The sequence below is a fragment of the Homo sapiens genome, chromosome X (genome assembly GCF_000001405.40).
Source record: "Homo sapiens chromosome X, GRCh38.p14 Primary Assembly".
NCBI classification, from domain to species: Eukaryota; Metazoa; Chordata; class Mammalia; order Primates; family Hominidae; genus Homo; species Homo sapiens.
In genome coordinates, this window is record NC_000023.11 from 97,184,788 (window position 1) to 97,211,955 (window position 27,168).

Consider the following 27,168-nt stretch of genomic DNA (forward strand, 5'->3'; position numbering starts at 1 on the left):
TGATTCTCAAATAATTTAGCCTAATGCTTGTTTCATAGAATTATGAAATCTTGTTTATTGTAAGGAACCTTAGAGGATCATCTAATTTAATCACTTTTTCTAATGCAGCGGCACGTTGTATAATACCCCTGAGAGGTAAATGTCCAATGACATGGAATTCCTTACTTTGTCTGGGCTCCTGCTGCATTGAAAATATATTCTTTGTACTTGGCTGGATGCGGTGGCTCACGCATGTAATCCCAGCACTTTGGGAGGCCGAGGCAGGTGGATCATTTGAGGTCAGAAATTTGAGACCAGCCTGACCAACATGGTGAAACCCTGTCTCTACTAAAAATATTTAAAAAAACAAAAAAAAAGAAAAAATGACCCAGGATTATAGGCACCCGTCACCAATCCCAGCTACTCATGAGGCTGAGGCACGAGAATCGCCTGAACCCAAGAGACAGAGATTGCAGTGAGCCAAAATTGCACCACTGCACTCTGGGAGACAGAGTGAGACCCTGTCTCAAAAAAAAAAAAATATATATATATATATATGTGTATATATATATATGTATATATATATGTGTGTATATATATATGTATATATATATGTATATATATATGTGTATATATATATATATGTATATATATATGTATATATATATGTGTATATATATATGTGTGTGTATATATATATATATACACATATATATATATATATATATATATATATATATATATATATATATATCTCACTTCTTCATACTGAATTGAGATCTGTCCTCCTGTCAGCTCTCACTCAGTTCCACCATGGGGGCAATACAGAATCTGAGATTTATCTCTTCCTCATGACAGTTATTTAAATATTTGAAGCACTTTCCATTTTGTTTACTTTTCTAAAGTACTTTTCTATGGTACCTATGCATACTTTGTTAACCATTTCTTGATTGCTGACTCCTCCAGAATGTTGGTTATTCTCTCTTACTTATTATAATTTGTCAATGCCCCTTCTAAAATGTCATATGTTATTTAACCTAATGCTTCAAATAAAGTTTTACCTTTGCATGATACAATTGAACAATGCCTTATACATTGTAGGTTCAAAGGTCAAATCTTTGAAGTATAGGTTCCCATCCTAAATTATTGATGACAGTTTTTTAGCTTTTATAGTAATTGCATCTTGCTGTGAATGCATGTTGACTCTGTGGTCAACGAAAAACCTCATTCCTTTTTTTCTTTTATTTTTATAAACACAAACTGCAGTCAAGTTAGATTATCCCAAATCCCGGACCTATATAAATGATTTAAAAAAAACTAATTGTAAGATTTTCATTTATCCCTGATAAATTTAATTTTTGTTTGGTTTCAGTTCAGCACTGCTACCCATTACAAAATTTTGAATCCTGACTCTATCATCTAGCATATTCGCAGTCCCTTTGGGTTTTGTGTCATTTGTAAATTTAACAAGTATACCTTCAAACAGCTTCTTTTAAGTCACTGATTTTTTTGAAAAAGGAACAAGAAATGCCTGCAACTAACTACCATAAACCTCCTACTGGTTGACACCAATCTAATTATTAATAGCCTTTTAATTTAATTTTTAAACCAAATTAAAATCTACCCACCTGTACTAATATCCAGTTCTTATGCGTGTTCCTTTCCCACAATGGTATCCACAGAGAATTTACCCAAAATAAAAATATGTTATGCATTTACTTTCCAGTTGATTTTCTCTAAGAAACAGTTGCCAGTAGTTTGGCATCAGTTATTTTACATAATCCATGCTACTTCTTGATTTTTAGCATGATGATTTATAAATTTATGAAGACTTTGGGCATACCCAAGCATGAGGCAGAGTTGGGAGTGCTTCATTTTCTTTAACACAATTGAGAAAAGTTGATATTTTTATCAAGACATTTGTTAAGGAAGAAACAGGGAAGGTATAAGAAATCTAAATAAACTGGCTTGCATACTACAGGATTCTAATCTCCCTCTAGCTAATGCAGCCTACAGGGCCTAGCCCATTCCACATAGAGACCTATGGAAAGTGAGGGGCTTTGCCTTGACTCCTCATTTCCACTATTTTGGTCTGCTTCCATGTTTTGAGTGTCATTTGATACACATCATCCAAGATAATCAGTCTGGATTTTATGACTGTTGAATATAGTACAAGAAAAGTTATGTCCTTTTGCCTGTTTACGTAAGGACCACTCTCTTAATTCCTGTTTCTAGAATGAAAGAAATGCCTTTTCTCAAGTTGATTGTTACCAGGAATGACTTCATATTGTTTGCGAGATTCCACTCTATCCATATGCTTGTGGCCTTTTCCCATACAGAGTCAATAGTATAGTAACTTAATACAACCTACTATCATGGAATTCATTTAGTAGGAATTATCAGTTTGTAATAACAGGGAATATGGGCACAAATTGCCACTTATTCTGGAGAAAGTGATGAGAATGTATTAGAGGAAGGAGTAGGGATTTAGGGATTGAAGACTAATTAAGTAGCCTTTTTTTTTTTTTTTTTTTTTTTGCAACTGTCTCTCTCTGTTGCCCAGGCTGGAGTGCAGTGGTGCTCACTGCAACCTCTGTCTCCCGGGTTCAAGTGATTCTCCAACCTCAACCTCCCTAGTAGCTGAGACAACAGGAGTACACCACCATGCCCAGCTAATTTTTGTATTTTTAGTAGAGACAAGGTTTCACCATGTTTGTCAGACTGGTCTTGAACTCCTGGCCTCAAGTGATCTGCCTGCCTCGGCCTCCCAAAGTGCTGGGATTACAGGCGTGAGCCACCATGCCTGGCCTAAGTACCTATATTATCTTCCATATGAAATGTGATGAGTACCTTAACTAGTTTGTAGCAATGTGATTGAATTATAGACAGTTCGCTGGTAAAAATAGGCAAATGATAAAATATAAGAGACTGGGGAATATAATAATCAATATAAGTAAGGAGTTTTTGGAAATCAAAAATTAAGAGAACTAAAGTGTTTGTGTTACACTTGGGATCATATAAACAGAATGCTAATGAATGAATTGTAGGTTTTTAAGGGTTATTTTCCAAACTTAGCAAGGTAATTAACATATCATGCTAATACAAATATTAATAGAAATATAGATATACTTTGAGCAGCCTGCAGCCTACACCTACTTTCCTAGAGCTATTGAGGTTGGAGAGCAAGGTGAAAATGATGGGTTTAGATTTAGTTCTGGATTACTCTGGGTGAAGATTTTAAGCATGTAGTTAGAAGTTTTACCTGGAGAGATATTTGGAAGTTGCCAAAAAGATAATAGGTAAATTCAAAGAAAAGTCTTTGGAGTAGAAGACGAAGATTGCAGATAAAATCTTAGAGAATAATGCCTACCTTTAGGATGGAGGTTGAAAAGAACTTGCCAAGAAAGAGTTACAAAAGAAAAGGAGGATAACCAAAATCTGTGCTTTATCTCAGGAGCCAAGAGAAGAAAGCATTTTTAGAATACTAGGGAGTAAAACAACACCATCAGTGTCCACAGAGAAATTGAGAAGAATAAGCTGCTATCAGGCCTTTAAGTTTGGTGGTGACATAGTTATGGAGATATTTCATAGAAGAGGTTGAGGAGACTGGGAAAGGTAGATTGGAAGGGCTCACTTAATAGAAGCAGTAGTGGAGGAAGCAGAAGCAATGGACCGTCCAATACGAATAGTCATGAAGGTAAGGAAAGAGCTTTACTGTTTCTTCTTCCCATTTAACTGATAGCTCAGTAGATAAAAAAGGAGAACAAGATAAACTTATTTGTTGAAAAATTACTAGAAGTTTGTTATATTGTTTAAATTGATTTCAACTTCAGACTGTTTAATAATAAGTACATAGTTTAACCACCATAGGAATGAATTTGAGTTCTTTGCTCTGTATAACTTTAATAACAGACAGATGTTAGTCTTTCAGCAAAGAAACAAAGGTTGTTCCCTAAATTACTTTAGATTTACAATGCAATAGAGCATTTTAATTACATTCATATGTGCAGACTTTTAAAAAATAATTTTTAAATGGTTTATTATGGTAATAGAAGCACATTTATGCCACATCATGCAACACGGAAAGCATATTCTCTCTGTTGAGTGGTGTAAAATGTTTGTGGCTTTTGCATCTCACATTTCTTGCTTTAGAAGTGCTACTGTCATTTACATTCTCTAGTAATCCAATTGTGAATTTTATGGATATATATGAGCATGTGAGGACAGGGTGCCAGTGGAAAGCTAAGAAAAGGAGAAAGGTAAATAACAGCCAGAGAAGTTGGCAAGATTACTTTTTCTTCACCGTGCCAAGACAGCTATTTTAGCTGAAAATGAGGAGGATGGGAGGTGCACAGGAATTTAGTTAGATATAGAAAGAGAAAAGCTGGGCAAATAATTCAGGTATGTAAGCAAGTTCAAGAGATGAATGAAGACATTATTCTGATGTCTGAAGAGCGGAGGTTAAAGGAAAGGTTGACTAACCAAAAAGCCTTATGTGAACCCAGGGTAATCAATAACTGCGCTTGATTAGAGGTCTTGTAGCAGTGGTATATAGAAGAACAGAAGAAAGATGTGGCCCCCAAGGTCGTATTTACCAGAGAGAACAGTCTGAGAAACAAGCCACAAAAGAATTGGTCTATGAAGCTTTTCTCAGAATCAGTCGTCCCCCCCCCTCCCTCCCTCCCACCCTCCCTCTTCCCTTGCTAAGTAATGGCTGGACACTACAGAAGTACTGTATATTCCTGGGTTTATCTTAGGATATGGATAGTGAATTACAAATGATATTTTAACCCATCTATTGCCATTGATATGTAAAACCATTTTCTTTATTAAAAATTGCCAATCCCTATGTCCAATATTATAAAATTAATGTCTCTACTAAATGAAGAAAAAGGTTAAAAAATAAGAAGCAATTTTTAAAAAATCCCTCTTTTTGCCTAGCCAAAAAGAAAAAGAAAACAAAAAGTGAGTAGGATTTATTGTGAGAAAATGTAACCTTTAAAGCTGGCATGCTGTTTGAGTTACCTGCCTCTGAAGGGCAAGGCCCTAGAGAGATGCTTAACTAGGCAGGTATGATGATTGCAGTGCCCTTAGGGCAAGAGCAAAGGCAGAGATTGTCAACACATAGGCAATAAAGGCTGCCTACTCAAACTCTGGGCACTCTTACTTGGCTTGTTAAGTTGTATCCTACGTGCATGAGTGTTTTGGCTCAGGAGAAAAACTCTAGTGCTATTAGAAAATGTCTCTTTCACATAGACAGTATCAAAACGGCTTTATTAGTCTTAAATAATGAAAAAGTAGCAGAAACAGATTTAGAATTTAATCTCTTGGTTTCTAGGTTTCTCGTCACTTGCTTCACCACTGATGATCTGCTCTGTTTTTCAACCAAATTCTTTGTGAATTCATGGCATTGGTAGCCCCATTCTTTGTGTTTGTACAATGCACTAGTCTCCAGAGTGTGCATTCCTTGAATGATAGAGGTTTTTAGTTATAGTGGCATGGGCCATCACTAGGGTAGATGAACAGATTTGTGATTCTAGGATATTACGCCAGTCCAGATTGGGAAAAGTTTTCAAAGGTTTAAAGGTTTTTCTGCGGGCTGCCTTTGTTTCAGCAGAGTGGAGAGAATTTAAAAACATGTACCCTTAATAGGACCAATAGAGTTTAAACTATATATTGTGTAACTTTTAGAAACTTTTCAAAGTACATATCTTAGCAACTTCAGAAGGATGACATAAGGGTCAGCCTCACTGGGGATGCTGTCCCATGTTGCTCCTTAGTTAGCAAGACATTGTAAATCGGCCAGGCATGGTGGCTCACGCCTGTAATCCCGGCACTTTGGGAGGCTGAGGTGGGTGGATCACGAGTTCAGGAGTTCAAGACCAGCCTGGCCAACATGGTGAAACCCCATCTCTACTGAAAATACAAAAATTAGCCAGGTATGGTGTCAGGCGCCTGTAATCCCTGCTGAGGCAGAGAATTTCTTGAACCCGGGAGGCGGAGGTTGCAGTGAGCTGAGATCATGCCACTGTACTCTAGCCTGGGTGACAGAGTGAGACTCCATTTCAAAAAAAAAAAAAAAAAAAAATTCATAGGTACTGGACTCTAGAAGGTGAATCACTGCCAGTCCTTCCCCCAGTTCATTATCTGAAGTCACAAGGCAAAGTTCTTTCTCCTAATCCCATAAAGTCCTCGTCCTTTCCCCACCTAATTCTGTGTGCAGTAGCCCCCTCTTTCAAATGCTAAGTGGACCTGACTCTCATACAGAGAAATAAAAACGGGCTGGGCGCAGTGGTTCACGCCTGTAATCCCAGCACTTTGAGAGGCCCAGGCAGGCGGATCACCTGAGGTCAGGAGTTCAAGACCATTCTGACCAACCTGGTGAAACCCTGTCGTTACTAAAAATACAAAATTAGCTGGGCTTGGTGGCTCATGACTGTAATCCCAGCTACTTGGGAGGCTGAGGCAGGAGAATCGCTTGAACCTGGGAGGCAGAGGTTGCCGTGAGCCAAGATCATGCCATTGCACTCCAGCCTGGGCAACAAGAGGGAAACTCTCTCAAAAAAAAAAAGAAAAAAAAAAGAAAAATGTATTGCTTCTTGGCCTTTTGGCTAAGATCAAGTGTAGAAATAAAAAATTACACATTTGTTGGATTTGTTCCTTCAGAGTTCTTCCTTTTAAAATCTCTAGTGGGATAGATACTGAGAAAGCATTTTGTATCTTCCCTGGGAAGCAGGCTTAAGGAGAGTAGTCTCACTCTTCTCTCAGCTCTAGGAAAGTAGGTGTAGGCTGCAGGCTGCTCAAAGTATATCTATATTTCTATTAATATTTGTATTAGCATGATATGTTAATTACCTTGCTAAGTTTGGAAAATAACCCTTAAAAACCTACAATGCATTCATTAGCATTCTGTTTATATGATCCAAAGTATAACACAAACAAGATACTTTTTATACTTTAGTTCGCTTAATTTTTGATTTCCATAATATCGTCAGTTTATACTTAAATCTTAGGGAGACAAGGTAGAAGAAAGAAAAGTGACTGGATAGCAGCATGAGCTTTGCTGCCCTCCAAATAAGTGCTGAAAAGATGAGTATGAGTCTACTCTAATCATCTCAAAAGGAAGCAGTGAAAAACTGAACATTAGCATGTTCATGAACCTAATAGTAAAATGGCCACACTGAAACAAGAATTTATCCCAGACAAGACTCTTTGCCTTACCACAATGAAAAATAAGTACTTTTGCTGAGTGCAGTGGCTCACACCTGTAATCCCAGCACTTTGGGAGGCCAAGGTGGGCAGATCACGAGGTCAGGAGTTTGAGACTAGCCTGGCCAACATAGTGAAACCCCTTCTCTACTAAAAATACAAAAATTACCTGGGCATGGTGGCTCGCACCTGTAGGTGCTCGCAGCTACTTGGGAGGCTGAGGCAGGAGAATCACTTGAACCCGTGAGGCAGAGGTTTTGGTGAGCCAAGATTGTGCCACTGCACTCCAGCCTGGGCAAGAGAGTGAGACTCCGTCTCAAAAAAAAAAAAAAAAAAAAAGAAAAGAAAAGAAAAGTACTTTTTCAAAAGTAGAAGTTCTCTTTATCTCTACCCCTAATGCCCAGTAATACCCTTAACACTAATACCTGCTTTTTAAATCCGTGCATATACCTATTTTGTAAAGCAAGAGAGTATCTAAATAGGAGTTGAGCCATAGAATGTAAGAGCTAGATGCGCCCTTAGATTCCATTTGCTAAAACACTGTTCTGTGAACCAGTGTTAACCTGTGAAGTTTTCATCAGCCTGTAAATGATAATTTAAAACACACAGAAATTTAAGCTCAATGTATTCAGTATAAAGAACTACTCCTTTATTCTGAGATTATTTCTTTTACATATTTTTTCATGATAAAATATCCTACTTTTATGAGATGACGGTGATGATAGATGGTAGGAATTTTCCTCTTAAAATAATAGCCTAATTTGGCAGTATAAAAAGTGCCTCCCGATTTTTTGCAGTTTCTGAAACCCTAACACCTGAGAACAACTGGTCTAGTTTGATCTCCTTATTTCATATTTGAGAAAAGTAAGGCCTAGGAGAAGTTAAGAGAGTTACTTAAGACTCACTACTAAGAAATCATGGAATTAAAACTAGAACCTACACATTCATATTCCTAGTCCACAGCTCTGAATAAAGCAACAAATTCCCTCTCTTTTTCCTAAATAATACATTATTTCTTTCTTTTTCTTTTTCTTTTCTTTTTTTTTTTTTTTTTTGAGACAGGGTCTCTCTCTGTCGCCCAGGCTGGAGTGCAGTGGTGCCATCTTGGCCCACTGCAGCCTCGACCTCCTGGGCTCAAGCGATTCTCCCACCTCAGCCTCCTTAGTAGCTGGGACCACAGGTGCTCGCCACCATGCCTGGCTAATTTTTTGCATTTTTTGTAGAGATTGGGTTTCACCATGTTGGCCAGGCTGGCCTCAAACTCCTGAGCTCAAGCAATCCTCCCGCCTCAGTCTCCCAGTATATTGGGATTACAGGCATAAGCCACCGTGCCCAGCCCACATTTCTATTCTTAAATTAACTTGAACTTTGTCAATTTTATTTTTCTTCTTTTACCAGATTTATACTTCCTATATTTTGATGTGCCAGTACTTCATTGGGTTACCTTCATTATGCAGTTAATTTAGTTTCTCAAGCACATTTTAATTATTGATTTCTCTTATTTTATTAAAGTGAATTAAAGGTACATTTGTCTTGCCAAAAATTTAAGGCCTTTTATTGTCCTTGTACTAAGACTAAGTTATCTCCCAGTTGGTATCATTTAATAAAGACATTGATTGCATTCTACTTGGTTGCATTCTACTGGTGCTGGAAAAGCGATTTCATTTTCTGGTGAAGTTTATGCTGACAAGTTGAATGGAAAATATACTTGTATAATACTTTTAATTACATGTTATATGCATTTATTTATTTTGCTCTTTAGCAGGATTTTAGCATCCTCACAAAATATTATATGACTCAAGGAACTACCTACTCACTTTGCTTTCTCTGCTGGAAGTAGGCAATCAAGCCAATTGGAAAATTTAAATCCGTGGATTATGGGTTCTAATTTCTGGCCTATAAATAAGTTAGTTTTGTCATAATATTATATATTTGTATAATACTTTATATAATAAACACTTCTTTATTTCTTTTTGGTATTCAGTGTATCTTTTACATACATTGTCAGGCTTTGTTTTTTCTGAAAACACTGTGAGGACATATTTGCTCACTCTCATTTTGTGGATGACAGACTGAAGCTCAGATGCCTTAAGTAATGTGCCCAAAACAGCAGAACTAGCTAATAAGTCGCAGAGTCAGATTTAGAACCTCAGGTCATATGACTACAAGTCTTGCATTTGCTCCATATCTCTGCTCTACGGTAATGTTTCTCTTTGCATATTAGTATTAAAAATGGCTTCTCCCTTCCCTACCAGATAATGGTATGATTCTTAGTAAAACATCCCATTTCCATTTTAATATCCTAGAAATTTTTTTTTTTTTTTTTGACGGAGTCTTGCTCTGTTGCCCAGGCTGGAGTGCAGTGGCGTGATCTTGGCTCACTGCACGCTCCGCCTCCCGGGTTCAAGCCATTCTCCTGCCTCAGCCTCCCGAGTAGCTGGGACTACAGGCACCCGCCACCAAGCCCGGCTAATTTCTTTTTGTATTTTTAGTAGAGACGGGGTTTCACTGTGTTAGCCAGGATGGTCTCGATCTCCCGACCTCGTGATCCGCCCACCTTGGCCTCCCAAAGTGCTGGGATTACAGGCGTGAACCACTGCACCCGGCCCCTAGAAATATTTTCAAATTGTTGAATTTGTTTTAGTGATTTCACCTGTCCAGATAACCTACCTTAAACATCATGATGAGAGGGGAGGGGAGAAAATAAATAGTATTGTTATAGAGTTTAAGCTAGAATTAAGTATAAAATCATAAACAATTAAATGTGATTAAATGAACCATTTTATAGCTTAACAGTATACAGGCACATATTATTTATGTCAGCAAGAGAAAGAGCCCACATTATTAGGAAAGCCTATTTTTTAGATCATTCAAAATTGTTTCCTAAACTGTATAACTACCTTCCTCAAGGATGGATTTACTTAATCAACAGTTCTGTAATAATTGGTTAAACCATTTGGTTGGGGAGTATGGTCCCAACCTTACCATATTCTAAAATAAATTTTGTAATGATTAAAAAAGCAAAAGCTAATAAAATGAATCAATAAAGGACAACAAAACCTAGGTGGCTATTGTTTAGTCTTAGGATAGGGCTGGGCTTACTGAGCATGAAAGTTTAGGAGAAAACCTCATGTAAATTTTGATAGATATGTGTCACTTGATCAATTCCGTAATTTAAAAAAAGTTATAAACAAAATTAAAAAGTAAATGATATCTTCTAGGAGATAGCTGAAATATATATAACATCAAAATATATTGTATAATCATACATTTGGGGCATCATAATGAATTTTTAATTAAATATTAAAGTGTAACTTCAGCATTGTCCCTTGAAGTATAATTGGAAATTGCCATTGACTAGTCTCACTGGTAAAATGAGAAATGATTAAAAGTGGATAGATTAGGCCAGGCGCAGTGGCTCATGCCTGTAATCCCAGCACTTTGGGAGGCTGAAGCGGGTAGATCACTTGAGGTCAGGAGTTCAAGACCAGCCTGGCCAACATGGTGAAACCCCGTCTCTACTAAAAATACAAAAATTAGCTGGGCATGGTAGTGCACACCTGTAATCTCAGCTACTCAGGAGGCTGAGACAGGAGAATCGCTTGAACCTGGGGGGTGGAGGTTGCAGTGAGCTGAGATCTCGCCACTGCACTCCAGCCTGGGCGATAGAGCAAGACTCCGTCTCAAAAAAAAAAAAAAAAAAAGTGGATAGATTGCTAATAAATGGAAAGTAATACAAAAAGTCTAAGCCCGCACTGGCCTACCATGTTACAAATTTTTAATGTTGAAATATTCTGTTCGACATATTAAAAAAATAAAAGGGAAGCAAATAACATTATGTTGTTAAAAAAAAAAAAAGAAGAGTAAGCATCCATGGGGCAGTAGTAAACGTGATTGTTCATAGAGCAGAAAAGCTTATCAGTAGCTGGGTAGTTAACTTAGAAGCAAATAAATAAAAATGTGTGTGTAAAGAGAACACAAGTTAATTATTTGACATGATGCCATTGTTTTTCAAAATAAAAGCATTCTTTGCAAGATTTAATTGCAATAAATGACTAAAATCATAACTGTATTTTCAAATATGAGAAAAATATGAAAGAATATGACAATGATATCTTCAGAAGCTACTAATTATTGGAAACACATGGGGACAATTACACAGGCTAGCAAAGCTCGGTAGCTTATCACTGGATCCAGAACTCAGAATCAGAGTTGTAGTGATACACATACACACACACATACATACACACACACACACACACACACACATGCACATACGTGTGTATAGTTTTGTTGTATTGCAGTATATAGAGAAAGAACAATAAAAAGGGATTTTTGGTATTATATCTTACCTTTGCTCATTCAGTTCCATGTTACTGCCTTCTTATCTGCTCTGAAGCCAAGCAGGATATAACAGAAGATTGTAGGCATTAGGACATCATCAGATGCTAACAGAAATTTGTTGATAGAAAATATGGTTCTAGTGGTATAAAATCCACAAAACTAATAACGGGATTTGTCATCAAATGTTAGTAAACACAGAAATGGTAGAGATACCAGGAAAGAAATAACATGAAATGCTTCAATTATGAGCTAGTACTGGAAGTTTGTTAAAGAAAAAAAGGGAAAATGTTCACTCTGACCTTTACCAACAATTTCTTTCTAGATTGAAATATAGGAAATGAGCCAGGTATCACTGTATAGTTATTTTAAACGCAATTTCTATATTGAGAGTGTATATTTGCAGCTGGTACATATCTGATTTTCGTTTGGAAAATGTAAATGAAAAAGGGTTTTTATTTCTTTTTTTTCGGTTTTTTTTTTTTTTGAGATGGAGTTTTGCTTTTGTTGCCCAGGCTGGAGTGCAGTGGTGTGATTTTGGCTCACTGCAACCTCCGCCTGCCGGGTTCAAGCGATTTTCCTGCCTCAGCCTCCCAAATAGCTGAGATTACAGACATGTGCCACCACGCCTGACTAATTTTGTATTTTTAGTGGAAATGGGGTTTCACCATGTTGGTCAGACTGGTCTTGAATTCCTGACCTCAAGTGATCCACCCGCCTCAGCCTCCCAAAATGCTGGGATTACAGGTGTTAGGAAGTTTTGAGGAAATACATAAAAAACAATAATGTGTAACTGGTAAAAGAAAATTAAATGAAAGGTAAATACAAGTGAAGGCCAGTTCTTGTTCTGCCATTGCCTGGCTGCTGTACTCACTATACTCATATACTATCTCTATTCCCTCTCATGTGCCAAAAGAAAAATGGTAACTTAATTCATAAATTTATAGTGAGGACTAATTGTGTTCCCCATGAGATGTGTTCTGAGTCACATGGAAGGTTATCTGTACATTCATGTACATAAGTATATACACATATAGACACAAATCATAAACAGAACTTCCTAATACTAAAGAAATTATGTGCTTACATTTTCTATATATGCCTCATTTTAAGAATAGTGCAAATTCGAATATCTTAGGACCATAAGAAGGAGAAACACTGTGTGATTCTTCATCTCATATAAGGTAGAGTGTAAGTTATTCTTATAAACTTCCTTCAGACATCTAACAATCGATCACATATGTAAGAAATTTAGTTAGCCTATTTTACTGGAAGATAATTCTATAGTAGTTCCTGAGCTATATCTGCATTTTAAAGTATATTTACTGTGCCTTGCTTACTATAGATGACATTTGTTTCAGTTCTCTTGTTTACCAGGGGCATGGTAGGGTGATATTTATATATTTGATTTGCAGAATTAGTAGCTTCAGCTTAACAAATGGCTGCTCTTCAGCCTTTTCCCAAGGTTAAGTTTGAAGTGTTCAGGTCATTTTATGATTTTCCTTGACCACAACCACGTTGGCTGTCAAGGGCTAAGATTTTACTAATTTGACCAGGTTGTTCTTTAAAAACCAGTTATTTTAATTCTTTTCTCTATTTCCCCAGCCTTGTGTATTTCCAGTTGAGTAAAAATAAATAGAAAATGCTATTCAGTATTCTAAAGCAAGCCAGTTATGTTTGCATCACTTAGACAGCTTTATAGGACTCAGAAAGAGAGACTGTCAGATTCATGAGAGTCAGCTGAAAACTATTTGTTTCTTTCAAAAGACAAGGGGAATGAATGATTCTGGTGCATGTCTCATGAATGTTGAGAAGCTCATCTTATGGTTAAAAAGAAAAACTCATTAGACGACTCTAGAGAGATATATAAGAAACCTAAGGATTCTGTTTTATTTACCTAAAACGTTCCTGGTCAAATCAGTGAGGTATACTAACAACAACAACAAAATACACACACACACACACACACACACACACACACACACACATATGTGTATATACATATATATATACACGCATATGTGTGTATATATATATTAATATAAGGACCATCAGATTTTAATATACCCTTTAAGCTAAACTTGTCCATTGTTACACGTGGTCACAGAAGTTTTTCTATGAAAACTTACGAAGTGGATGAAACTAGGACTTATTTAATTTGAATATGCATATTATACATATATAGGCACAAATGTATTTTAATTTGTACTTAATGTATTTGCAATTATAATAAATAAAAGTTCATTCCTATGTAAAATATTATGAATTTACAGAATTACCAACAATGCCTTAAGTATATTATTTCTTCTGATCTTTTATTCCATTAAAATTATAACATCTTTAAGCTAATGATCCATGCCAGCTACTGCATTTTTTATCAGTTAGCACAGTGCTGACTATAGACAAGTAAGTACCTGATGGGTTTAATCACATATATTGAACTTCAACTACATAGTTTAAGTAGTGTGGTCTTCTGTTATCGTAAAGTCACAGTGATTTTCCAGCACATTCATTTGATATTTTCATCCCTGTCAGCTCACAAATCCCCTCATACTTTGACAGCATTATACTTTGTTAAGAAAGGAAAGCAGGAGATATCCTTTATATTTCAAATATATTAGGTTGACATGTGAGCCATGGCCAAACTTGATTAAAGGTGAGGGGAAGTGAATGTAGAAAGAAGAATTCACAAGCAGAGAAGTAAGTGCTTTGGGAGGGTGGGGTCAGGGCAGGCAGTGGATGGGAGGAAAAGCACCTAGCCATAAGCTAAGGCATGTTTCAGAGGAAGGCAGTGCTGAGTTTTTCTCTTACCCTATTTTTTATAATCTCCCCTTATAATAGTTAGCCACCCTCAATCTAAGTAATCTTCCCATAAGGTGGTTTTTTTGAGGATTATATTAACATATGTATATGTGTGTGTGTGTGTGTACGTGTGTGTATCTGAACATAAAAACTGATAATACATTTCTTATAAAATAACTTGCTTTATCATGTTGTATAGCTTAAATTGCTTTTATTCCATATATGTGTATGGAATATGTGTATACATGCATATGTACATGTACACATGTATATGTATATGTGTGTATCTGTATCTTTTTATTAATATTTGCCAATGGCATAATTCTACACTCCAGTCTCTCAAGCAAGCATTTATGTAAAGCTTGATCCAGGGATATTTCTTTCTTTACATCATGTTCCTTGCTTCTTTGTTGAAGCAATTTCTATTTTTCCTTCTTTTCTGATCTCCCGCAATGTTCTAGTTCTTGTGAAATATTAGTTTTCTCAGCACTGAAGTTGAAAACTTTCCATATACCAACTGCTGTTTTCAGTTCTGATTTCAACCAGGGCTTGGTGGAGGAGTAGGGTAGGGAAACTTCCTGAAACCTTGTTGATATTAATAGCAACTTAATCCTTTGGCTTCTACTCAGATTTCGATGGACTGTACATTCATGCTCTTATCTTTGAATCATCTGACACTTTTTCAGCCATGAAGAAATCAGAATATTTGGTCTGTTGTATTTCCTTTCTAAGTACTTTTTAAAGGTTACCTACTTTTAAAAGAGCTAGACCAAGTATAGTAAAAGTATACACCTTTTCATTTTGGGGATGGAGGAGCCAAGATGGCCAAATAGAAACAGCTCCAGTCTGCAGCTCCCAACGAGACAAATGCAGAAGGGAGGTACCTAGTTGATCTCATTGGGACTGATTAGACAGTGGGTGCAACCCAAAGAGAGTGAGCACAAGCAGGATGGGGCGTCGCTTCTCCCAGGAAGGCCAAGGAGCCAGGGACCTCCCTCCCCCAGCCAAGGGAAGCAGTGAGGGGCTGTGCTACCCGCCCCAGATACTACGCTTTTCCCACGAATTTTTGCAATCTGCAGATCAGGAGATTCCCTCGTATGCCTGCACTACCAGGGCCCTGGGTCTCAAGCACAAAACTGGGCAGCTGTTTGGGCAGGCACCCAGCTAGCTGCGGGAGTTGTTTTTGTACCCCGGCGGTGCCTGGAACACCAGCGAAACAGGAGAACCATCTACTCCCCTGGAAATGTGGCTGAAGCCAGGGAGCCAAGTGGTCTCGCTCAGCAGGTCCCATTCCCACGGAGCTCAGCAAGCTAAGAACCATCTGGAGTCGAGCTGGGATGATCAAGCTTGGTGATAGGGAGGGTCATCCGCCATTACTGAGGTTTTAGTAGGTGGTTTTCCCCTGACAGTGCTGAGACTGACAGGTTTGGACTGGGCGGAATTCATCACAGCGTGGCAAAGCGGCTGTGGCCAGAATGCTTCTCTAGATTCCTACTCAGGGGCGGGGCCTCTCTGAAGGAAATGCCACAGCCCCAGTCAGGGGCTTACAGATAAAACTCTCATCTTCCTGGGACAGAGCACCTGTGGGGAGGGGCAGCTGCAGGCGCAGCTTCAGTGGACTTAATCTTTCCTGCCTGCCGGCTTCGAAGGCAGCAGCTGATCCTGATAAGGGGGATTCTTCCAGCACAGCGCACCAGCTCTGGTAAGGCTCAGTCTGCCTCCTCAGGTGGGTCCATGACCCCCATGCCTCCTGACTGGGAGAGACCTCCCAACAGGGCTTGACAAATATCTCATACAGGAGAGCTCCAGCTGGCATCAGGCCGGTGCCCCTCTGGGATGAAAATTCCAGAGGAAGGAGCAGATAACAGTCTTTGCTGTTCTGCAGCCTCCACTGGTGATACCCAGGTGAACAGGGTCTGGAGTGGATCTCCAGCAAACTCCAGCAGAACTGCAGAAGAGAGGCCTGTTAGAAGAAAAACTAACAGAAAGCAACAACAGCATCAACAAGAAAGACCCCCCCCCCAAAAAAAACCCCATCCAAAGGTCATCAGCCTCAAAGATCAAAGGTAGATAAATCCATGAAGATGAGGAAAAACCAGCGCAAAAACTCTGAAAATTCCAAACACCAGAATGCCTCTTCTCCTCCAAATGAACGCAACACCTCTCCAGCCAGGGCACAAAACTGGACGGAGGATGAGACTGACGAATTGACAGAAGTAGACTGCAGAAGGTGGGCAATAACAAACTTCTCTGAGCTAAAGGATCATGTTCTAACCCAATGCAAGGAAGCTAAGAACCTTGATAAAAGGTTAGAGGAACTGCTAACTAGAATAACCAGTTTAGAGATGGACATAAATGACCTGATGGAGCTGAAAAACACAGCACAAAATCTTTATGAAGCATACACAAGGATCAATAGCTGAATCGATCAAGCAGAAGAAAGGATATCAGAGATTGAAGACCACCTTGCTGAAATTAGGTGTGCAGACAAGATTGGAGAACATAGAATGAAAAGGAATGAACAAACCCTCCAAGAAATGTGGCATTATGTGAAAAGACCAACTATGATTGTTTGGTATACCTGAAAGTGATGGGGAGAATGGAACCAAGTTGGAAAACACACTTCAGGATATTATCCAGGAGAACGTCCCCAACCTAGCAAGACAGGCCAACATTCAAATTCAGGAAATACAGAGAACACCACTAAGATACTCCATGAGAAGGTCAACCCCAAGACAAATAATCATCAGATTCTCCAAGGTTGAAATGAAAGAAAAACTGTTAAGGGCAGCCAGAGAGAAAGGTTAGGTCACCTACAAAGGGAAGCCCATCAGACTAACAGCAGATCTCTCTACAGGAACCCTACAAGCCAGAAAAGAGTGGGAGCCAATATTCAACATTCTTAAAGAATTTTCATCCCAGAATTTCATATCCAGCCAAACTAAGCTTCATAAGCGAAGTGGAAATAAAATCCTTTCCAGACAAGCAAATGCTGAGGCATTTTGTCACCATCAGGCCTGCTTTTCAAGAGCTCCTGAAGGAAGCACTAAATATAGAAAGGGAAAACTGGTACCAGCCACTACAAAAACGTACCAAAATATAAAGACCAATGACACTATGAAGAAACTGCATCAACTAATGTGCAAAATAACCAGCTAGCATCATGATGACAGGATCAAATTCACACAAAACAGTATTAACCTTAAATGTAAATGGGCTAAATGCCGCAATTAAAAGACACAGACGGGCAAATTGGATAAAGAGTGAAGACACATCAGTGTGCTGTATTCAGGAGACCCATCTCACATGCAAAGACACACATAGGCTCAAAATAAAGGGATGGAGGAGTATTTACCAAGTAAATGGAAAGCAAAAAAATAAAAAATAAAAAATAAATAGCAGGGATTGCAATCCTAGTCTCTGATAAAACAGACTTTTAAACCAACAAAGGTTAAAAAAGGTAAAGGAGGGTACTACCTAATGGTATAGAGATCAATGCAACAAGAAGAGCTAACTGTCCTAAATACATATGCACTCAATACAGGAGCAACCGGACTCATCAAACAAGTTCTCAGAGACCTATAAAGAAACTTAGACTCACACACAATGATAGTGGGAGACTTTAACACCCCACTGTCAATGTTTGACAGATTAACAAGACAGAAAATTAACAAGGATATTCAGGACTCAAACTCAGCTCTGGATCAAGTGGACCTAATAGACATCTACAGAACTCTTGACACCAAATCAACAGAATATACATTCTTCTCAGCACTTATTCTAAAATGGACCACATAATTGGAAGTAAAACACTCCTCAGCAAATGCAAAACAATGGAAATCATAACAAGTCTCTCAGACCACAGTGCAATCAAATTAGAACTCAGGATTAAGAAACTCACTCAAAGTCACACGACTACGTGGAAATCGTACAACCTCCTCCTGAATGACCCCTGGGTATATAACAAAATGAAGGCAGAAATCAAGAAGTTCTTTGAAACCAATGAGAACAAGGAGACAGTGTACCAGAATCTCTGGGACACAGCTAAAGCAGTGTTAATAGGGAACTTTATAGCACTAAGTGCCCACATCAGAAAGATGGGAAGATCCCAAATCAAAACCCTAACATCACAATTAAAAGAACTAGAGAAGCAAGAGCAAACAAATTGAAAAGCTAGCAGAAGACAAGAAATAACTAAGATGAGAGCAGAAATGAAGGAGATAGAGACACGAAAAACCCTTCAAAAAAATCAATGAATCCAGGAGCTGATTTTTTGAAAAGATTAACAAAATAGATGGACTGCTAGCCAGACTAATAAAGAAGAAAAGAGAGAAGAATCAAATAGACACAATAAAAAAAGATAAAGGCGATATCACCACTGGTCCCACAGAAATACAAACTACCATCAGAGAATACTGTAAACACCTCTACACAAATAAACTAGAAAATCTAGAAGAAATAGATAAGTTCCTGGACACATACACCCTCCCAAGACTAAACCAGGAAGAAGTCGAATCCCTGAATAGACCAATACCAAGTTCTGAAATTGAGGCAGTAATTAATAGCATACCAACCAAAAAAGCCCCAAACCAGATGGATTCACAGCTGAATTCTACCAGAGGTACAAAGAGGAGCCGGTACCATTCCTTCTGAAACTATTCCAGACAACTGAAAAAGAGGGACTCCTCCCTAACTCATATTATGAGGCCAGCACGATCCTGATACCAAAATGTGGCAGAGACACAACAAAAAAAAGGAAACTTCAGGCCAATATCCCTAATGAACATCAATGCAGAAATCCTCAATAACATATTGGTAAACTGAATCCAGCAGCACATGAAAAAGCTTATCTACCACGATCAAGTTGGCTTCATCCCTGGGATGCAAGGCTGGTTCAATATATGCAAATCAATAAACATAATCCATCACAAAAATAGAACCAATGACAAAAGCCACATGATCATCTCAATAGATGCAGAAAAGGCCTTCAATAAAATTCAACGTCATTTCATGTTAAAAACTCTCAATAAACTAGGCATTGATTGAACATATCACAAAATAGTAAGAGCTAATTATGACAAACCCATAGCCAATATCATACTGAATGGGCAATAGCTGGAAGCATTCTTTTTGAAAACCTGCACAAGACAAGGATGGCCTCTCTCACCACTCCTATTCGACATAGTATTGGAAGTTCTGGCCAGGGCAATCAGGCAGGAGAAAGAAATAAAGGGTATTCACATAGGAAGAGAGGAAGTCAAATTGTCTTTGTTTGCAGATGACATGATTCTATTTAGAAAACCCCATCGTCTCAGCCCCAAAACTCCTTAAGCTGATAAACAACTTCAGCAAAGTCTCAGGATACAAAATCAATGTGCAAAAATCACAAGCATTTCTATACAGCAATAATAGACACACAGAGAGCCAAATCATGAATGAACTCATATTCACAATTGCTACAAAGATAATAAAATACCCAGGAATACAACTTACAAGGAATGTGAAAGACGTCTTCAAGGAGAACTACAAACCACTGCTCAAGGAAATGAGAGAAGACACAAACAAATGGGAAAACAGCCCATGCTCATGGATAGGAAGAATCAATATTGTCAAAATGGCCATACTGCCCAAAGTAATGTATGGATTCAGTGCTATTCCCATCAAGCTACCATTGACTTTCTTCACAGAGTTGGAAAAAAACTACTTTAAATTTCATATGGAACCAAAAAAGATCCTGTATAGCCAAGACAATCCTGAGCAAAAAGAACAAAGCTGGAGGCATCACACTACCTGACTTTAAACTATACTACAAGGCTGTAGTAACCAAAACAGCATGGTACTTGTACCAAAACAGACATATAGACCAATGGAGCAGAACAGAGACCTCACAGTGTAACCCCACACATCTAAAACCATCTGATCTTCAACAAAACTGACAAAAAAAAAGCAATGGGGAAATGATTCCCTATTTAATAAATGATGCTTGGAAAACTGGCTAGCCATATGCAGAAAACAGAAACTGGACCCCTTCCTTACACCTTATACAAAAATTAACTCAAGATGTATTAAAGACTTAAATGTAAATCCCAAAACCATAAAAACTGTAGAAGAAAACCTAAGCAATACCATTCAGGACATAGGCATGGGCAAAGACTTCCTGACTAAACTGCCAAAAGCGATGGCAACAAAAGCCAAAATTGACAAATGGGATCTAATTAAACAAAGAGCTTCTGCACAGCAAAAGAAACTAGCATCAGAGTGAATAGGCAACCTACAGAATGGAAGAATATTTTTGCATTCTACCCATCTGACAAAGGTCTAATATCCAGAATCTACAAGGAACTTAAGCATATTTACAAGAAAAAAAAAATCAAAAAGTAGGCAAAGGATATGAACAGACCTTTCTCAAAAGAAATGTGGCCAACAGATACATGAAATAAAGCTCATCATAACTGGTCATTAGAGAAATGCAAAACCACAATGAGATACCATCTCATGCCAGTCAGAATGATGATTATTTAAAAGTCAGCAAACAATAGATGCTGGTGAGGCTGTGGAGAAATAGGAATTATTTTACACTATTGGTGGGAGTGTAAATTAGTTCAACCATTGTGGAAGACAGTGTGGCGATTCCTCAAGGATCCAGAACCAGAAATACCATTTGACCCAGCAATCTCATTACTGGGTATACACCCAAAGGATTATAAATCATTCTATTATAAAGACACATGCACAGGTATGTTTATTGCAGCACTATTTACAATAGCAAAGACCTGGAACCAACCCAAATGCCCATCAATGATAGAATGGATAAAGAAAATGTGACACATTTCCACCACAGAATACTATACAGCCATAAAAAAGAATGAGATCATGTCCTTTGCAGGGACATGAATGAAGCTGTAAGCCATCATTCTCAGCAAACTAACACAGGAACAGAAAACCAAACACCACATGTTCTCACTCATAAGTGAGAGTTGAACAATGAGAACACATGGATACAGGGAGGGGACCAACACACACTAGGACCTGTCATGGGGTCGGAGTCAAGGGGAGGGAGAGCATTAGGACAAATACCTAATGCATGCAGGGCATAAAACCTAGATGATGGGTTGATGAGTGCAGCAAACCACCATGGCACATGTATACCTATGTGACAAACCTGCACATTCTGCACATGTATCCTGGAACTTAAAGTAAAAACAAAAATAAAAAAAATTAAAAATGAAAGTATACACCTTTTTATCAGCATTCTTTAACTCTGTCTCTTCCAAGCTACTTCTAAAAATGACATGTTGTAAAAAGACCAATTTATTTAAATATTGGAATGATTGTGAATATAGTTATCATGAGGTCCTAAAATGCTGTTTCATTTTGATTGTGGAGGTTAGTAGGGAAAATGGATACTTATGTCATAGGATCTTTTACGTTGAAAGACTTGGATCATACATGAAAACATATATAGAGGCATACATAATGCATATAATCAGATGATCAATTTATAATATCCTTATATCTTAGCCATATCTATTGTAATGCTGAATGATAATTAAACATTCATTTAGCATTTGACACATCTTACGCTCTGCTGAGGTTATGCTAAAAGAAATTTTTTTTAAATTGATGAAGATAGTATGTTTGACAGAAAAAAATCAATATGAGTGTACCTATCAAGGGGCAGGCAATGCTTTTAAAATGCTGTGGGTCAGGAACACTCAGGCGTATATACTTGTGACATATTAAAAGCATCCTTTCCAGTAATAATATCGTTTGGCAGAATTATTTTAATGGCCTGTGATCCTGATTCTATAATTCTATTACCAATTACCTTGACTCTGCTTTCAAAAGATGCTTTAAGTTTTAGATTCTGGTATTCTGATCTCAGTATCTCGTAGTGACCTCCTGTTATCTACTCACTTGCTACTGCCAGTGTCATGGACCATGAATTGAACCTACTGTTATCTTATGGAATTTTGGCACTCTTTCTAATCAATCCTTTGTCATGCTAACAGTATCTTTATTGTTGTTTTTGGCTAAATTAATAGCTAAACTAGGTATTTGCATGTTTTGTCTAATCGCTTATGAAGAAAGTACTTTACCAATATTGTGAAAAATGTTACCAGTCGTATAGCTTTAATGCCATGTAACAATGTTTACAGCGTTCAATTGAAGCACTTTAATATTTTAAACCCAAGTTAGATTGAAAGTACTCATTCAGCAAGCATTTTAGGGATTTTATGGACATCTTTTAAGATCGTCTGTGGGACGTTTGTAACAACAGTAATCGCAAGAATGGCGATGATGATGATGATGATGGCAGCTCACATTTATTAAGCTCATAGTATATGTCAGACTCTATTCTAAGGACTTTATATGAATTAATTCATTTAATCTTTACCAGAACCTTATGAGGTAAGAACCATCCAATTTTAGAGATGTAAATACTGAGGTACTAAGCAGTTAAGTGACACGCCCAAAGTTAGAAAACTAGGAAGTGTCAGAGCCAAAATTGGACCCCCACTTTTTTTCATGCCTCTGATTGAGATAGTAAGATTTTGTCTTACCTTCTGCCCAGTATTTGATTAATAAACCTTATGGAGCTTCACAAAAGTAATATTTTCATTAAGTGTTGCTTGTCAGTCATGATCCATATATGCAGAGGACTAAAGAGTGTGCAATGATGATTGATTTTTGTACTGAAATTCTTTCTTTTATTTTGTCAAATGAAGAAATTTGTCACAAGAGTGAACCGGGGCCAGGTGCAGCAGCTCGCGCCTATAATCCCAGCACTTTGGAATGCCATGGTGGGTGGATCACGAGGTCAGGAGTTCGAGACCAGCCTGGCCAACATGGTGAAACCCTGTCTCTACTAAAAATAGAAAAATTTCCCAGGCATGGTGGAGCACATCTCAGGAGGCTGAGGCAAGAGAGTCACTTGAACCTGGGAGGCAGAGGTTGCAGTGAGCTGAGATCATGCCATTGCACTCCAGCTTCAGTGACATAGTGAGACTCTGTCTCCCCCCTGCAAGAAAGAAAAGTGAATCAGCATGGAAATGAAAACGTTCTAGTGTCTTTTCTTGTAATTATTTTTTATATCCATCCATCCATCTGGAATTCACTGTGTGTCCAATACTGTAATAAGTGATAAGAATATAATAGTAAACAAGACATGGTCCCTTTTTCAAAAAACATAATTGAACTCAGGAAGAGAATAGAAACCCATTTATCCTTGTTGATTATATATTCACCTACCTGAAGGCAGATTAACTCTGAAGGAGTCAACCAGTTCTGCAATTTAGATTGTAAGAATAAATTTTGCTTCAAAATAGAATTTAATTTGCTTAATTTGTTTCAGTCTGTTTTCAGATTAACTTGGATCTAATTAATGCATTAGCTACTATTAGATAAGGAGTGCTTTTCTGTGTTCGCTACTTTTGCCAAAAGGGAATGACTGACAAAATCCTATATAAATTTAAGGTAGAAAATAGTCTATTTTCTGTGGCAATATATATTTAGAAAGGAATGTATAGACTTTCTGGGTGTTTTGAGATAATAAAATATTCTAACAAATGTTCTTACAAAAAATATCTTTTGAGTAGGATGCTCATTCTGTTGGCCCAGAATTAAGTGGACTATTATGTAAGCCTTTGCATTATTTCAATTTTTATCACTTATTTTTTAAACAACATTAAGGCAACAAAAGGATGTTTCTGATATCCCTCTCCCAGTAATGTAAGGCAGCGGTGAGGGGTTTTTTTTTGGTCATTATTTTAAGGTTCTTTTCCCCAGTCTTTATCAATAGGTAATGTTTATAGGTCTTCATTTGCATTTATTACCCTTAACTTTTTAAAGTATGATACTCTTTCTATGTTGCTACCCTTACTACATAATCATTTCTAATTATTATGTAATCCTGACTCAAATTGATGTACCAAAATCATCAATCAGTCTTCTATAGAGCACAGAGACCTCAAACCTTTCATTATTAAACATAACTTAACATTTTCTGTCTTCATGTATCTTTTTATCTCCTCCCTTTGATTATTTCCTTTTAGATGTACCAAGATCTGTAAACATTTTTCTACTCTTCAATTTTCTAGAAAAATTGTTTTCCAGGAAGATTGTATCAATGTATACAATCATCAGGAATAAATAAGCATATGAGTTTCATCACAGCCTCAAAAACAGTAGTTTTATGTATTTTATGTTACTTTGACTTCCAAAGAGGGATAGCAAGAACTGCTCATAAAAACAAGCAAATGCCCAAATTCAATAAAATATAAAAGTAAAAATGAGACATTTTAAAAAATTGTGCCAATACATATAAAGTGGTAAGCTTTTTGTTATAACTTAAATTCCTATGACTCTGAATGAAAAATATTTTCCTTTTTTAATTAACTTTGTCACTTCATTTGTGAATCGACTTCATATGTCCTTCGTCTATTGATTAAGATCAAATTTTAACCCTTTATGTAGCTTGAATTCTTTATATAACAAATATTTGTTGCAAATGTTTTCCTATTCTGTTTATTTTAATTACAGTTAATTATAATTATCAAGAATTATAACTATGACTTGATATGTTTGTATGTTGAAATAGTAAGGTACTTATTCTCACTTAATTTTTAAGTGAACTAATTGTTTTGGAATCATATATATTAATTGAGTCTATCGGAACTGATACTCTATACTAACTGCATTTTATTGTTAGGACCATTTATAATCCTCTTCTTAATGATTTTAACGGAAATCACTTCTTTTTTTTATATTTATAAGCATTTAGTATATTAATCTGAATGATGAATACAAATTCTTTATTATTCTGTATACCTTTTGCACATCTGAAACATAGTATTATAAAATAAAACCTTAGCTTTCAAAGTCATTGTCTCTGTTAAGGGCTTGACAATCCAAATTTGGAGGTCAACAAATAAGCATTGACTTTTCACTCTTCTTTGTAATTATACTATAATAATCTCAATTTATGTCAAGGAAGTGTGGATGACTCTAACTTTTGGAAAAACAAATTACCAGGTAGTATAAAGTGTGCAAAAGAAAAACAGATTAATGTTTCAAGATATTATTTGACCTCTTTTACACATCCCTTACTACTGTTGACACACTTGACTTTGATATATTTCTTAAATCTTTCTTTCAGAAGTAATCAAGTTATTTAAGAGGAAACCTTTCGATGATAGTGTTTGTTATCTCTGTGTTCATCTATTTATCAGGAAATCACTTCTTAATTAGTATAGCTTTTAGTATATCTTTTGGACATGTCACCTTTATTTTCATTTCTGTTATAGGAAAATGTCTTGAGTTAAGTACATACCCGAAGCTAGAAATGTCTCCATTTAAAAAATGTATTCTCTATTTTGTTTTATCCAGCATTGTATTTTCCCTGGCTTTGTTCATTCTGCTGTTTCACAAACACTGTGTGTTTTTATGTGGTTATAACAATGATGAGACATTGACTTATGGAATTAACATAGACACATGGAAAATATTTTATGGTACTGACATAAAAAGAAACCAGTTCTGGGCCATGATTGAGACCGGGAGCTACTGAGGTTCAACAGTTTCTATTCCACAGAGTGCCATTTTGTCCCAAATGATTGATGACATTCTCTTGCCCTATTCTCCACAGATTATAAGAACACTGTTGCAATCTAGAGCTTCTGTAGATACCCGCTTCATTAAGCATGATCCCAAAATGTCATTTAATTTATTTCTTAGATTGAATGTCTCATTAAACTTTGATGAGGCCAGGAGCTACTTTGGGCTGGACTTGTTATGAAGCACTCTTATCTTAAAATTTTGTTCTGTCCCTGTTGGCAAAGGAAATGGACATGACAGTGAAATCAATGCACAGTGCACTTTATCTTTGACAAACTGAAATATTGTTTTGCTAAAATAGGCCCATGGGGTAGGGAGATTAAAATCACACATAAAGTAGATCAGCATAAAGAGTAAATATACAAACTTATACAGTCTTTGGTGTAATTTTATTTTGTTTAAACTGACTTTGCCCCATTTGGACAAACATAACACATCTACTTGATTAAACAAGGTACTGATCTCCCTCAGCCTCATTTGAAAAGAAACATTTTCTTCTTTTTAGTTATAAGAAGTGAATATATATAAGATGAAGTCAGGGCATGAGTAATGTTCTATCAGTTTTTAGTAAGAGGTATGTCTCAATAGTTGTGTTACTCACCTTGTGGAATAGGTTGTGTCAAAACAAGAAAAAAAAAACTAATAGTATTTGTATTTTCCCTTTGGTGTCCATTGTAGAATCAGGAGCATAGTCATAGATTGGTATAGGCGGGAGGTGGAGAAAAGCAGGTGATTCCTTCAGTAGACCAAAGTGAAAACAACATTCCTTGCAAAAAAGGAATTTAGACATTGGCCAGCCCTAGGTCATGCTGGGCATTGGAGTATAATTTTTTGATGCTTCCTTAGGTTTGGAATCACCATCTTGCAACTGATTTTTCTCTCATGGCTCCTGCATCCTGCCATGTTGCCACACTGCACACTTAGAACATGAGTTCCACCCCTGTGTATGCTTCCCTTGATTCCACACCAGAATTTGCCAGCTCTTCTTTGATCTTTCCTGAGTCTTTATACAGCATATTAAAGAGCTGCTCTGCAGTCTAACTCTGAAAATCAGTAGTGTCATCTAGCATATTTTATACTGTTGCCTAAGATGTCTTGGGTTCGAAGGTTCTCACTTTGTTAACTGCCAGTTTGCTACCTAATCAAATTTGCAACTTTGAAGATTGCCCTTGTGTACAGGGTTAATGTCAGATTTTTAGTATTAAAAAGAAACGACTAAGA

The 27,168-nt window shown here is 37.1% G+C and overlaps 1 protein-coding gene and 1 pseudogene across 2 annotated transcripts in view, besides 2 other annotated features; both read left to right on the forward strand.

Moving 5' to 3' along the window:
- The window catches only part of DIAPH2 (diaphanous related formin 2), a 920,156-nt gene that overhangs the window by 499,946 nt on the left and 393,042 nt on the right, over positions 1–27,168 (forward strand). The gene's annotated exons all lie outside the window — the stretch shown is intronic.
- Positions 6,571–6,708, forward strand: LOC124905287 (uncharacterized; annotated as a pseudogene).
- Positions 15,050–15,754: an enhancer, noted in NCBI's record as "H3K27ac-H3K4me1 hESC enhancer chrX:96454836-96455540 (GRCh37/hg19 assembly coordinates)". NCBI's record gives its function as "activates a minimal SCP1, AML or CMV promoter by ChIP-STARR-seq in naive H9 embryonic stem cells {active_cell/tissue: H9 hESC(naive)}" and the evidence as "EXISTENCE:reporter gene assay evidence [ECO:0000049][PMID:30033119]".
- Positions 15,755–16,459: an enhancer, noted in NCBI's record as "H3K27ac-H3K4me1 hESC enhancer chrX:96455541-96456245 (GRCh37/hg19 assembly coordinates)". NCBI's record gives its function as "activates a minimal SCP1, AML or CMV promoter by ChIP-STARR-seq in naive H9 embryonic stem cells {active_cell/tissue: H9 hESC(naive)}" and the evidence as "EXISTENCE:reporter gene assay evidence [ECO:0000049][PMID:30033119]".